Source organism: Homo sapiens, chromosome X (assembly GCF_000001405.40).
Source record: "Homo sapiens chromosome X, GRCh38.p14 Primary Assembly".
Lineage (NCBI taxonomy): Eukaryota > Metazoa > Chordata > Mammalia > Primates > Hominidae > Homo > Homo sapiens.
In genome coordinates this window covers 78,129,343-78,144,197 of record NC_000023.11, presented here as the reverse complement: position 1 = coordinate 78,144,197, position 14,855 = coordinate 78,129,343, and the positions used below count along the sequence as shown (strand labels likewise).

At 39.9% G+C, this 14,855-nt stretch overlaps 1 protein-coding gene across 1 annotated transcript, besides 1 other annotated feature; it reads left to right on the top strand.

Moving 5' to 3' along the window:
• Positions 4,548–14,450, top strand: TAF9B (TATA-box binding protein associated factor 9b). The gene is made up of 7 exons (NM_015975.5): positions 4,548–4,637; positions 5,274–5,355; positions 6,100–6,236; positions 6,315–6,449; positions 7,208–7,283; positions 10,750–10,860; positions 12,425–14,450. Exons 1-7 carry the CDS (start codon positions 4,587–4,589, stop codon positions 12,586–12,588), a joined length of 756 nt encoding a protein of 251 aa, NP_057059.2. The 5' UTR covers positions 4,548–4,586; the 3' UTR covers positions 12,589–14,450.
• Positions 4,550–4,859: an enhancer, noted in NCBI's record as "active region_29785". NCBI's record gives its function as "activates an Ori minimal core promoter by ATAC-STARR-seq in GM12878 lymphoblastoid cells {active_cell/tissue: GM12878}" and the evidence as "EXISTENCE:reporter gene assay evidence [ECO:0000049][PMID:35858748]".

Below are 14,855 nucleotides of genomic sequence, written 5' to 3'. Positions count from 1 at the left end.
AGCAATTGCAACAAAAGCAAAAAATGACAAATGGGATCTAATTAAACTTGAGAGCTTCTGCACTGCAAAAGAAACTATCAACAGAGTAAACAGACAACCTACAGAATGGGAGAAAATATTTGTAAACTATGCATCTGACAAAGGTCTAATATCCAGAATCTCTAAGCAACTTAAACAAATTTACAAGAAAAAAACAACCCCATCAATAGGTGGGCAAAGGATACAAGCAGATACTTTTCAAACGAAGACATACATGTGGCCAACATGTATATGAAAAAAGCTCAATATCACTGATCATTAGAGAAATGCAAATCAAAGCCACAATGAGATACCATTTCACACCAGTCAGAATGGCTATTATTAAAAAGTCAGGCCAGGCACAGTGGCTTATTTCTGTAATCCTAGCACTTTGGGAGGCTGAAATGGGCAGATCACTTGAGCCCAGGAGTTAGAGACGAGCCTGGGCAACATGGCAAAACCCCACCTCTACAAAAAGTACCAAAATTAGCTGGGCATGGTGGCACACACCTATAGTCCTAGCTACTAAGGAGGCTGAGGTGGGAGGATTGCTTGAGCCCAGGAGGTCGAAGCTGCACTGAGCTGTGAGCGTGCCTCTGTAGTCCATCCAGGGTGACAGAGTGAGACCCAGTCTCAAATAAAAAGAAGTCAAAAAATAACAGGTGTTGACAAGGTTGCAGAGAAAAGGGAACACTTATATACTGCTGGAGGGAGTATAAATTAGTTCAACCATTCTGGAAAGCAGTGTGGCGATTCCTCAAAGAGCTAAAAACAGAACTACCATTTTACCCAGCAATCGCATAACTGGGTATATACCCAAAGGAATATAAATTATCTACCATAAAGACAAATGCAGGCCAGGTGCAGTGGATGCCTGTAATCCTAGCACTTTGGGAGGCCGAGGCAGGTGGATCACTTGAGGTCAGAAGTTCAAGACCAGCCTGGCCAACATGATGAAACCCTGCCTCTACTAAAAAAATACGTAAATTAGCCGGAAATCACTTGAACCTGGGAGGCAGAGGTTATAATGAACCGAGATCACATCACTACACTCCAGCCTGCGCAACAGAGCAAGACTCCATCTAAATATATATATATACACACACACATACATGCATGTGAAAGTTCATTGCAGCACTATGCACAATAGTAAAAACATGGAATCAATCTAAATGCCCATCAATGGACAGATTGGATAAAGAAATGTGGTACATATACATCATGGAATACTGTGCAGCCATAAAAATGAACAAGATCAGGTCTTCTGGGAACATGGATGGAGCTGAAGGCCATTATCCTTGGCAAACTAATGCAGGAACGGAAAACCAAATACCCCATGTTCTCACTCATAAGTGGGAGGTAAATGATGAGAACTCACGGACACAAAGAGGGGAACAACAGACACTGGGGCCTACGTAACGTTGGAGGGTAAGAGGAGGGAGAGAATAAGGAAAAATAACTATTTGGTACTAGGGTGGCAAAATAATCTGTATGACAAACCCCTGTGACACAAGTTTACCTATATAACAAACCTGCACATATACCCCTGAACATAAAATTTAAAAAAATTTTAATGTGGTACTTATATGCAATGGAGCACTATTCAGCCATAAAAAAGAATGAGATCCTGTTATTTGCAACCACATGGATGGAACCGAAAGTCATTATGGTAAGTGAAATAAGCCAAGGACAGAAATACAAACATCACACGTTTTCACTTATTTGTGGGATCCAAAACTCAAAACAATTGAACTCATGGACACAGAGAGTAGAAAGATGGTTACCAGAGGCTGGAAAGGATAGTGGGAGGGTGGAGACGCAGGTAGGTTTATGTGTACAACAAAATAGAAACGATGAATAAAACCTGGTATTTGCTAGCACAACAGAGTGACTATAGTCAATAATAACTTAATTGTAAATTTTAAAATAACTAAGAGTGCAATTGGATTGCTTGTAACACAAAGGATAAATGCTTGAAGAGATAGATACCCTATTTTCCATGATGTGATTATTTCACATTGCATGCATGCATCAAAACATTTCATGTACCCATAAATATATACACTTACTATATACACAGAAAAATTAAAAATTAAAAATATATATAGATAGCCGTTTGTCTTATATTTACATTCCTTTTAAAAGTCTTATATTTCTGTATATGAAGAATACACAATACGACGTACAAAATTTAAATGTGCAAGAGTTAAATTGTTGAGGACAGAAATATAATGAAAAATATTGTCAGATTTTCTCACACATATTATTTAACTTATCCTACTATTAATTACTACTAATGGCCACTGTTTAGTCCTAGTGTTTTGTTTAAATAGCACTTATGTAACAGAAAATAATACATAAAAAACATATAATTTCAAGTGAACACTTATTCTTAAGTAATGATACATATGGACAATTATTTATAATATGTTATGGGTTTTCTTCATCTAGCACATCTATGTCCTGGGTTGGCTCTCTGAAGGTTGGCCACCCTAAGACTATAGTACCATTCTAGTGGGAGGAAAAATATATAAACAAGATACTATTTGTAAATTGCACAGAATAGAAACTGATAAACAATGGTGCCATCTGTGAAAGTGACATCAGTGGCTGGAACAGGTGAGAGAGGCTTTCTTTTACTAGGGTATTTTAAAGTAGTCTTAAATGTTGTACCTTGCAAATATACCACGTATTTTTATTTTATTTTATTTCTTTTTCTGAGATGGAGTCTCGCTCTGTCGCCCAGGCTGGAGTGCAGTGGCGCAGTCTCGACTCACTGCAACGTCCACCTCCTGGGTTCCAGCGATTGTCCTGCCTCAGCCTCCTGAGTAGCTGGGACTATAGGCGTGCCCTGCCATGCCCGGCTACATTTTGTATTTTTAGTAGAGACAGGGTTTCACCACATTGGCCAAACTGATCTCAAACTCCTGACGTTAAGTGATCCGCCCGCCTCGGCTCCCGAAGTGCTGGGATTACAGGCGTGAGCCACCGTGCCTGGCCCCCACCTATTTTTAAATGTACCTTGCAAATATTCAAAAGCAAGGGACTGTTACTAGTTTTACACAGAGGTTGGCCACAGTAAGAGTGGAGAAAGGCACTAGCTCAGCGTGGGAGCACGTGCTCTCACTGGAAACAATGTATTGAGAACACATGGTTCTTGGTTGGGGGGAGTTCCTGCCCAAACTTCAAGATGGCGGCCAGGTGGACTGCTGATTCTGATGAGTCTGATGAGGTGAGCTGCGCCACAAAACTGAAGGACCCGCTAAGCCTGGGAAATTAGTATGTATTTGTGTAAGTGTTTGTGAGGAGAGCCACTGGAGGGTTTTAAGGAAAATAATGATTGGATTTATGACTGAAAGGTCCGTCTAGCTGTGTAAGGAATGTGGGGGGACACTATTTGGGGAGCATATTTCTGTAATCTTGGTAAGGATGTTGGCTTGGACTCGTTAGCATAGTAGCACTGGATGGAGATGTGGAGACATGGATAGAACTTTGGGAGGTCACCCGGACAAGACTTGTTGCTAGGTTGAGTGTGGATTGTGAGGGAAAGCGCCAACATGGCTGCCTGCTCCGTTTCTGGCCTGGGTGAGTCACGGTTCCTGTTCCTGAGGGAGAATCCTAGGGCGTTGGTGGATGTGGAGGGTAAGAATGAGTTATCTGCGACATTTTAAGCCAGAGATAGTTAACTGATGCACATTTTTTGAAAGTCACTGGGGCTGGATGGTAGGTTCTCACGAAAAGTCATTCGGGCTGTTCTGTGGGTGAGGGGCTGGGAAGGGTGTAACTGGGAGGCAAGGAAGGGTCCTGTGTTGGCCTCAGCGGGGAGACAGGAAGCTGCTCCAGGGCCAAGAGAGGCTAGAGGGTCTCTAACGGGCCGAGTGAAGGCTTTAGTTTTTCATCAGTGTGAAATGGGCAGCCACGGTAGGGCTTTGAGTGTGACAAGGGCTGACCAAAGTCTTGCTGTGGGGAGAGCAAGCTATTGGGTAGGATTGTCAGATTTAGCTAATAAAAATCCAGGACACCCGGTTAAATATGAATATCAGAACAATTATTTCGTAGCATAAGTATGGCCTGTGCAAATCTGGGATATACTTATACTAAAAATGTATTCCTTGTTGATGTGACATTCAAACGTAACGGGTCCAACTGTGTTGGACCAAGCAGCCCTAACACCGACTGGGTCTGGAATTCCGGGAGGCCGAAAGGGGCAAAGGTGGTAGCCGTGGAGGTGTGAGGAGGGACCCCCGCAAAGGTGAGGTTGGCCCACTTGGTGCCCTTTGCCGGGAAACAACTCTGGGAAGTCGAGCTTCTCGGCCCCTCTACTTCTTTCAGGCCCCAGCAGGCTCCATGGGGAAGGATTACCTGCCTCTTCCAATACTGAACTCGGGCACCCCAGCGCGTCTCTTCCCCTGGCCAGCGGCTTGCTGAAACTCCCGCCCCCGGCGGCTGGCACGTAACCCCGCCTTCCGTTTCCCTCCTCCCGCTCCCCGCAGGGGTGGAGCCTGAGCGAGGAGCCCGCGAGCTCTCCTCTCTCCTCTGTCTCCGCGGATGACGAGTGGCTGGATAACATGGAGTCGGGCAAGATGGCGCCTCCCAAGAACGCTCCGAGAGATGCCTTGGTAAGTGCGAAGGATAAGCCGCGGATCGCGAAGCCAGGTGCAGCCAGGGACCTGCGAGGCGGGGCCACGCTGAGGGCCTGAGGGTCGGCTCGCACGCTCGTTTCAGTCTAGTCAGGGCCGTCAGGAGGAGAGGGTGATGGGGATGCGCCCTGGCCCCCGGGCCCCTATCTCGCCGCTTGGGCCAAGTCTTGCCAGAGGGTCGCGGTCCAGTGGAGCTTGCGGAACGGCTGCCCAGCTTTGTGTCCTGGGCTTCGGGCCCCTGCCTCCCCCTCGTCTCTAGCTATCTGCCAGCCCTGACTCCGCGTCCAGGGTTCTGATGCTACCTTAACCCGCCGCCACAGCCAAAAATGACAACCAGCTGGAGCTACTTACCTCTGCTGGAGAAGCCAAATTCTGTCTTCTCTTTGCCCCACACCCCGCCCCCAACCCCGCCAAAAAATAAAAATAAAAGTTTTCTGCAAAAGCGTACTATGCGATTTCGTGTGATCACTGACTCACTTGGGAGGGCAAGGGTGAGTAGGACTTTGGAGCCCAAAGAAGGGGAACCTTGTATCATAAATATAAATACTACCCTTCAGTGCAGCCTTGATTTCCAGTACCAAATTCTGCATCTGGTGTTTTTATTTGAATCCACAGGTGATGGCACAGATCCTGAAGGATATGGGAATCACAGAGTATGAACCAAGGGTTATAAATCAAATGTTGGAATTTGCTTTCCGTAAGTTAATGAAACACCAAAAACTTGCCTAACTTGTGAACTTGAAAAGATATTTTTATTGTAAGAACATTTTCTTTTATTTTCTTTTTTGAGACAGGGACTCGCTGTTGCCCAGGCTAGAAGGCAGTGGCGCGATCTTGGCTCACTGCGGCCTCCGCCTCCTGGGTTCAAGCGATTCTTGTGCCTCAGCCTCCCGAGCTGGGACTACAGGCACTTGCCACCACGCCCGGCTAAGTGTTGTATTATTAGTAGAAAGGGAGTTTCGCCATATTGCCCAGGCTGGCCTCGAACTACTGACTCAAGTGATCCCCCCATCTCGGCCTCCCAAAGTGTTGGGATTACAGGCGTGAGCCACCGCACCCAGCCTTGTAAGAACATTTTCAACCAAATTATGTTAACAGTATCATAGAATTCAGCCTAAAGAACGAAAGGAGCTCAAGCTAGGGGACAGTAGTATTCACACTGTGATATCTGTTTAAAACTGATCATATAGACAGGACAATTACTTATTAAAATCAGCATTTAGGCTGAGCACAGTAGCTTACACCTGTAATCTCAGCACTTCGGGAGGCTGTCGCGGGGAGGCCAGGAGTTTCCTGGGCAACATAGCGAGACCCTGTCTCTACAAAAACCCACAAAATTTATAAACCGTCTACAAATTAGTGGAAAGTTTTATTAAGACAAGTAGCCATAAATATTAAGCTGTCTTCATATGTTTAAGAAAAGATTGTTTTGTTCTTATAGGTTATGTGACTACAATTCTGGATGATGCAAAAATTTATTCGAGCCATGCTAAGAAACCTAATGTTGATGCAGATGATGTGAGACTGGCAATCCAGTGTCGTGCTGACCAATCTTTTACCTCTCCTCCCCCAAGAGATGTGAGCAAACTTTGATTTGAAGTTATTTTTACTTACAATTTTTAAAACTGTAGTTCTAATAAGGATTTTTTTTTTAAGTTTTTACTGGATATCGCAAGGCAGAAAAATCAAACCCCTTTGCCACTGATTAAGCCATATGCAGGACCTAGACTGCCACCTGATAGATACTGCTTAACAGCTCCAAACTATAGGCTGAAGTCCTTAATTAAAAAGGTAAGAAATTTTAGTCAACTTTTCTTTTTTTAAAAGGTGGAATATGATAGGGGACTTTGTGAAAAGCAAATTCCTGTAGCTAGTATAGTAGATTAAAGGTTAAGATAACTTACTAGAATTTTTTTAATTTTAAAAAATTTTCGAGCTAGATGGAACTTTAGTGTTCATCTAACTCAACAGTCATTTTTCACATCAGGAAGCAGGGCCTGAACTCATTTATGAAGTTAGTAGCAAAGCTAGGACTGATTCCAAGCCTCATAACTCCCAGTCTTTCCACTATATCATAGTTTTTTAGTGAGGCCTAATAACAGAGGAAATGATACCATCAGGAATTAGGCCAGCTTTCTAAAATATGACATAAAGCTCTCCCACCACTGAAAAAGTTCTCCCCATAATAGGCTGCCTTTTCTGAAGTTCCACTATAAGAGTTTTATTCTTTTTTGGGTTAAGAAATTGACCAGTTAAGATTAAAAATCACAAAGTAGTTACAGTCTTATTTGAATGGGGATAACCGCTATCTTAAACTTTAATACTGCATAAGATTTTATACGTATTCATATCTATTTTTATATAGATAGAGATGTATATATGTTTATACAAACCCCAGATTAAATGTTGGATTTAGAACACTGAGAGAACAAAAACAGGACTTTCTTGCCATGGATTATCCATAATCATTTACATCAGCAATCCTAATTTCATTCCTGGTAAATTTAGGTGTCACATCTTAACATTAATTTGTTTTTTAAATCCCCTAGGGACCTAACCAAGGGAGACTAGTTCCACGATTAAGTGTTGGTGCTGTTAGTAGCAAACCTACTACTCCTACTATAGGTAAGTGAGAGGAGACAATGGCATTTCTGGCTGGTAAAGCAGTGCCTCAGCACTTGGTTTTGAACTATAATGCAAGTCAAAAAGTGAATCAGAAATTCTTGTGTATGTGTTACTATTAATAATTTTACTCATCCTCTAGTAAAGCTATAAACATACATGTTACTGGATTTCAAAATGAGAAAGCCACAAGGAACGTCTGATCTCAAATGAATATAAAATTGGACATTGCCCCCATTGTTGTTGGTATAAACTCTGATACCAAAAACAGGAGTTTACTCTTAGCTGTGTACTTTACGCCTTCTATAAGGTGCCACACACACTTATGGCAGTAGACTACTTATTAGAAATTTAAATTTCCAAATACATTGATGAGAATACAGTAGAAAGAAGATTAAGGTGTACAAAAATCTTAAGGATTTCAAAGAAAAAAATTGTTTTTAATACTAACCTTTTTAAAACATAGTACTGATTGTTTTAGATTGGTCAGTGGGAGCCCCTTCAAGCTGTTTCCTGTGTCCTTTTGACGTATCTGCATCATTCTGTGATCATTTCTTGCTTTCTGATGCAACAAGATGTTCCAAACTCATCTTTATATTTTTCTGCCTAGGTCCTAGAATCATCCACTTGTCCAAAGAGCTCTAGTTCCTTTTAGTGGAGAATGGTATTTAGAAACCATTATTTGTTTCTTTTTAATATTGTTGTTTAGATAATAAGGAAAACAAATAATGGACTTAGATTTCCTGTTTTTTTTTTCCTACATTCCTGCTGGGTTTCTTGCATAGTCTAGTATTCAAAGTATTTTCAGAAAAGTCCCTTTTCACCAGTATTAATTTATTGGCTCTTATTGCTTATAACTTGAGTCCTATAGCTGTCATATAGCTCAGGTATAAACAGCATTTGATTTTTGAGGTGTGTAAACCCTCTCTTCATATTCTCAGGATGTAAATTTGCATTTCAGCATTGTAAAACCAGTTTGGGTATAGTATTAGTTGTACATGTCTAATTACCTACCTGTGACCTTTGTGGACAGAAATCTGCATTATAATCTTTGTAAATTTTCATCATATACTGTTTGTCTGTGGGTTCACATTACTTAAATGAATACCAGCTTTTTTAAACCCCTAGGCTGGTAATCAGTTTCGTGTGTTAGGCAGGTTAACCAATTTTAGTTATCAGTTGTGATTTTTATTCCTAGCTAGACATTTGTTGTACATACTGTTCAGAGATTGTTAAAATCTAGAGTCAGGGCACTACCAAAAAACGCCTGATAGTTTTAAAGATGCAAGTTTTTTTTTGTTTTTATTTTTTATTTTTTGAGACAGACTCTCACTCTGTTACCCAGGCCAGGCTGGAGTGCAATGGCACAATCTTGGCTCACTGCAACCTCTGCCTCCTGGGTTCAAGCAATTCTCCTGCCTCAGCCTCCCGAGTAGCTGGGATTACAGGTGTGCGTCACCACACCAGGCTAATTTTTGTTTTTTTGTGTTTTTTTTTTTTTTCAGTAAAGACGGGATTTCACCATGTTGGCCAGGCTGGTCTTGAACTCCTGACCTCAAGTGATCTGCCTGCCTCGGCCTCCCAAAGTGCTAGGATTACAGGTGTGAGCCACCACGCCAGGCATAAAGATGCAAGTTTTAAAATTTAAAAAAATTAAAATGAGTTGGCCAGGTGCGGTGGCTCACACCTGTAATCCTAGCACTTTGGGAGGCCAAGGTGGGCCTATCACTTGAGGTCAGGAGTTCAAGAGCAGCCTGGCCAACATGGTGAAACCCCGTCTCTACTAAAAATACAAAAATTAGCCAGGCATGGTGGCGGGTGCCTGTAATCCCAGCTACTCGGGAGGCTGAGGCACGAGAATTGCTTGAACCCAAGAGGCGGAGGTCACAGTGAGCCAAGATCATGCCACTGCATTCCAGCTTGGACGACAGAGTAAGACTCTGTCTCAAAAAAAAAAAAAAATTAAAATGATTTATATAGACTTAAGACCTGAGTATTTACTCTGTTCAATTGGGGGAAGCTCCATCTACAGTCTAATGTGTTCAGTTTTAAAGCCTGAACTCCATACCTACTAAAATGTATTAACAATCCTTAGGCCAAGAAAACATCCACCTACTGTGAGTTTTCTTTTTTCTTTATAAAATAAAATACTTACATTGCTTCATTACGCTTCACCAAATTCTTTGAACTGATCCTTAACACATGGGAAAACTTACCTAGGGATGGAGATATTTTAGAGGAAGGTCTCACCTTCTGTGTTTGGGAGAGAAAGCAGTAAAACCCGGATTTCTCAGTACCTTTGGGCTTTATTCCCTTAGACTTTCTTCACCTTTGTCTCTAGAAATGATGATAATTGCAGTGTCCTCAGCAACTCTATCTCTGGGTAGACTGCTGGTTCCAGGGGGAAGGGATGTATTGGAAAGCCTGCATCCCCAAATGAAAAATTGGAAATGGATACATTTCCATAAATGTATTTTTTAAGAGAGCAATGATGTCAGTATATATATTAAGTCTTCGAGTCTTACAAAATACATTTATTAAGCAAACATTTGTTGAGTACCTATTAGGAGCAAGGTAAAAGAGCCATGTGCTCACAAGGATGAAAAATGTTAGTCAAGGCTTGTAATCTAGTCAATGAGATAAGATAATAATGACTCCTATGACGTTAAGGGAACTTCAGAGGCAGGATATAAGACGTTTAACTGAGAAAATTAAGGAAAGTTTTATAAAACGGGGTAGTATTTGAGCTGTACCTTGGAATAATGGGTAGAATTTAGATGACTGGGGGTTTAGACTAGGTTATCTCCAAGATATTTTTCTGCTTAAAAAGTATCTGAACACAGAAAGGGAATAAATTTTCTGGGCCCACCTGGAGACCTCAAGGGGTGTATTTGATCTCTGCTTTAGTTTCATGGGCATAGATGACATCTTCTGATTCTCAGCAGGTGACCAAGATTAAAAGTGCCAACTAAGGTAATAAATAGAAAACCTGGGTCTTTATTCTGGTAGGTTAAACTCTCATCTTTATGTCTTCATCCAGCTATACCTCAGTGCTTACTGTGTACTAGAGGCTGTTTGAAGAGTTTTACAGGGATTATTTTTACTTAATTTTCACAATAATTATATGAAATGGGTGATATATCCCCCATTTTACAGAGGAGAAAACTGAGGCACAAAAATTTAAATAAACTTGCCCAAGGACACTCAGCTAGTAGGTGAGAGCCTGTATTCAAACTCAAGCAGGTAGGCTACAGAGCCTACATTCTTTACCACTATTCTATACTGAATTTTGTAACATCTAAACAAGCTTGTAAATTTTTTTAAGGTTGTTTTGCTCTTATTTCTAATGACTTTTTCCTCACCTTTTATTAGTTTCCTTTGCTTTGAAGATAGTTTGCGGTAAGCTGAGTGTAGAATATAAATCTGTATAAGTCACCTAACAAACATGGTCTGTTTATTGTAACTACAGCAACCCCACAAACGGTGTCTGTCCCAAATAAAGTTGCAACTCCAATGTCAGTGACAAGCCAAAGATTTACGGTGCAGATTCCACCTTCTCAGTCCACACCTGTCAAACCAGGTAATGTGATTGGGAGTGGGGGACAGAATTTGTGAATAATTTGAAATTGTAGGACCGTTTGTATTCCTATAGCAAGAGGTAAATTGTTTTAATACCCAACAGGAAGGTGGCAGTAATGCTGCAAATGAGGGTTCTTCAGAGGGACCTATGAGCCCTCTAAAATTCTGTGAAATTTTACATAAAGTAGTCTCCCCCCTTATCCTTGAGGGATTGTTCCAAGACCCCCAGTTAAATTTACAACCTTTAAAGTTAAATTTATAAACTTTCTAAATTATAAGGTTTAATTTATAAATTAGGCACGGCAAGAAATTAACAATAATTAATTAACAATTACAACAACATACTGTAATAAAATATATGTGAGTGTGATCTCTCAAAGTATCTTACTGTACTGTACTCATCTATTTTTGGATCGCAGTTGACCACAAGTAGCTGAAACTGCAGATAAGGGGGGACTACTATATATGTAACGTTTTGGGGAGGAGGGAAAGAGTATTCAGTGTGTTCATCAGATTTTCAAAGAACACCGTCAGCTAAACAGTTAGGGTCCACAAATCTAAGTCGTCTTCAAGGAAAAGCAGTTAAGGTAAAAGCTCAAGAAAGCGACAAAACTTAGTGATGAATATGTGTATGCAATCCAGAACATAAATGTAAATTCAAATGAAATTGTACCTTTACTTCATAGGATACACACACACACACACACACACACACACACACACACACAGATTGGAATAAGAATTCTGTCATAGCACAGTTTACTAATGTGTATGTCTAGATTTCATATCTTCTGAAACCTAACCACACACAATAAGCAACTAACGTAAAATACTGGCCTATTAGGGAAGTGATTCCTGACCTTGAACATAGGCCTTTGTTTAATATGTTGCATGATGAATCCAGTGCAGTTTCCCATGACTAAATTGAAATTCTAGGTTGTTAAAATACAACAGAACTTCTTCAACCTTGTACTAGATATGTTTAATCTTTATCTATACATAGATCAGAACATCACATTATATCCCGTACATATACACAATTATTGGCAGGGTACAATGGCTCACACCTGTAATCCCAGCACTTTGGGAGACCGAGGCGGGAGGATCACTTGAGGCCAGGAGTTCGAGACCAGCCTGGCCAACGTGGTGAAACCCCGTCTCTACTGAAAATACAAAAATTAGCCAGGTTTGGTGGTACACGCCTATAATCCCGGCTACTTGGGAACCTGAGGCACGAGAATCACTTGAACTCAGGAGGCGGAGGTTGCAGTGAGCCAAGATCACGCCAGCTTGGACGACAGAGCGAGACACTGTCTCAAAAAAATAGTAATTTAAAAATAAATACACAATTATTATTTGCCAATTAAAAATAAAGATTTTTTAAAATTTAATTCAACTCATTGCAGTATAAGTACCTATGTTTCTTCTATGATATAGTTGCACTTCATGCTATTGAAATTGGTATTAGAATTACATTCAGCTTTGTTGTATACTTTTTATCATATGTTTCAGATTCTGGGTAATTCATAGCTTGGTTTTGGGGGGGCTTTCTTCTCTGTTTACAGTTCCTGCAACAACTGCAGTTCAAAATGTTCTGATTAATCCTTCAATGATTGGGCCCAAAAATATTCTTATTACCACCAACATGGTTTCGTCACAGAACACAGCCAATGAAGCAAACCCACTGAAGAGAAAACATGAAGATGATGATGACAATGATATTATGTAAGGAATATAGTCTAGTCTAGATGCATTTCAAAAGGAAAGTTGGTTTTGAGCCCAGTATACTGAACTAGAATATTCTAGATCTTGTTTTACCTTAAAAGACTGAAATGTAGCTGCAGTATTTTTCGTCAGTTAAAACTGTTAGATCTCTTTAGTAAACATACAAATGTGTTTTTCAGTAGGCTTCAATTACAAACAGTTAAGTACTTGTTTCTTAATAGTTTCATTAATGTTGAGTCCTAATATGGCAATTCTGTTTTTGAGACACTTTTCTGCCTTCTATCACTGATAGTAGCATTTAAGTTTCAGATTCTACAGCCTAGTCAGCAGATTTATCTTTGACAGCATAATTTCTGATCTACATTTAAATACTACTTTATTTTATAAGGTAATATAGTTACTTACTGTCACTAGCTAATTTTTTTTTTTTTACCAAATCTCTCAATATAGGAAACATTTTTTGGAAAGGATGGATTTAGAGGAGAGATTCTAAATCCATTTTGGATGTATTTGTTTCTTTGACTTCCTTAACTTCCAAACTCAACTCCCTTTCTAGATCCCATTCATTTTCTGCACCTCCCCCATAGGCTTGTTTCTCTCCATTGCTATTAAATGTAGAAGGCCATACCTGGAATTTTAAAAATATTATTCCTGGTAATACAGCTCAGTGTCATTTTCCTATTTTTAAAACATGCTCTACATGCCTAATGTTTTGTGATTCACTTTAACCTGATGGTTTGCATTTGCTGTTTTTCACTCTTATGTCAGAGCAGTTGGGTTTTACCCCTTAGTTTTTATGCCTGTTAAGCTTTACTGTGCTTTTGACAGGTAGTTTTGGGTCAGTTATATTCAGTTTTAGTATTGTATTCCAAGTTGATAACTCTTCCATGTTTCACATTTCTAAATTTAACAGAGATGCTGTAGCTTAAAACATGTTTTGATAAGTAATTACACTGGACCTAGGCAAAACCACTGAAGAACAAGTGTTCCTTTTTACCACATACATATTATGTTTTGATCACTGCTGCTTGAGCCCCGCTATTGGTATAATTCAGATCATTTTAGCTTGTTGCTGAGGATGTCACATATAAGACAGGATCAAACCTGAAAGACACTAATGGTTCATCCTCTATAAGGCCAACAAAGAAAACAAATTAATGTGATGTAACTTGCATTTATGTGCACTCTGCATAGGTTTCCCAATAATACTGTAATGTTGCTGAACACCTTTCCCTGTTTTCCATTTATACACATATTAAAGTCATATTGGGAAAGATGGCAAAGCTTTTGAGAATATAAACACACCTGTTTTGTTTTTCTTAAGTTCAACATACTTTTGTAGAATTTGTAAAATAAATGTTCGTATCATAATTGAGAATTTATAGCCAAGGATCCTCAAAACAGAAGTTTCATCTTAGGATAGTGTTTGATATATCTAAGAAAGTCCAGTAACAGAGAAGAAATGTCTCAAATGTCTCGTATCAGTTTTAGTGTTTTTCAGTATTAGGGAAAGGTAATATAAAAACAGGTAAAATGTATAAAAATAGACCTGATCAACATCATAGGAGATAAATATTCATTATATAGCATAGGATATTATTACTTGAATGTTCTCAGGGAGGCAGCAAGTCAGAAGGCCTAGGTTCTAGTCCTAGCTCCATCATTTACCAACTGTGTGACCTTACTTCACCTCTTAGCCTTGTTCTCCTCACTAGCAGTAGGAAAGTAACACCTACCCTGCCTACCTCACAGGGCTGTTGTGAGGGTTCAATTGGTATATGTGAAAATTCTTTCAGAATTGTAAAATGCTATATGACTGTAAGGAATTATTGCATTTGTTCCAAGGTTAATAAAAATTTGAGCTTATCAGTGTTTTCATTTTTTAGGATTCAAGGGAGATGAACAAAGCCCAGTAATTCTGATGGCCAAAGACCAGTAAGATTTGTTTAATGGTTATATATCAGAAAATCACTTGCTTTTATCTGGAATCAGCATGTGACACCATCATAGTGAAGCAAATTGAAAATGAGTAGAAGAATATGGGTTTAAATCTGTTGTCCTTCAGCTTCTAGGTGGAATTTTTAAAAAATAATATGTGCTGATGGTAAATGGGATGAGGACACTGTTACCTCCAGTTCTTCCTTTTATGGGTAGCAAACAAGTGTCTATGATCTGAGTACGAATATAGGAATATAGCCAGCATGGGGCGGGGTGAGAATGGAAGATGTGATGCACACTATGTTCTAAGGGATCCAAGGTGACAGGGAATAT

What these genes read in the sequence shown, in the direction of transcription:
- TAF9B (NM_015975.5), top strand. Translation starts at nt 4,587, where the DNA reads ATGGAGTCGGGCAAGATGGCGCCTCCCAAGAACGCTCCGAGAGATGCC. An exon ending in ACGCTCCGAGAGATGCCTTG is followed by an intron (nt 4,638 to 5,273) that starts GTAAGTGCGAAG and finishes TTGAATCCACAG; the next exon opens with GTGATGGCACAGATCCTGAA. An exon ending in CCTCTCCTCCCCCAAGAGAT is followed by an intron (nt 6,237 to 6,314) that starts GTGAGCAAACTT and finishes TTTTTTTTTAAG; the next exon opens with TTTTTACTGGATATCGCAAG.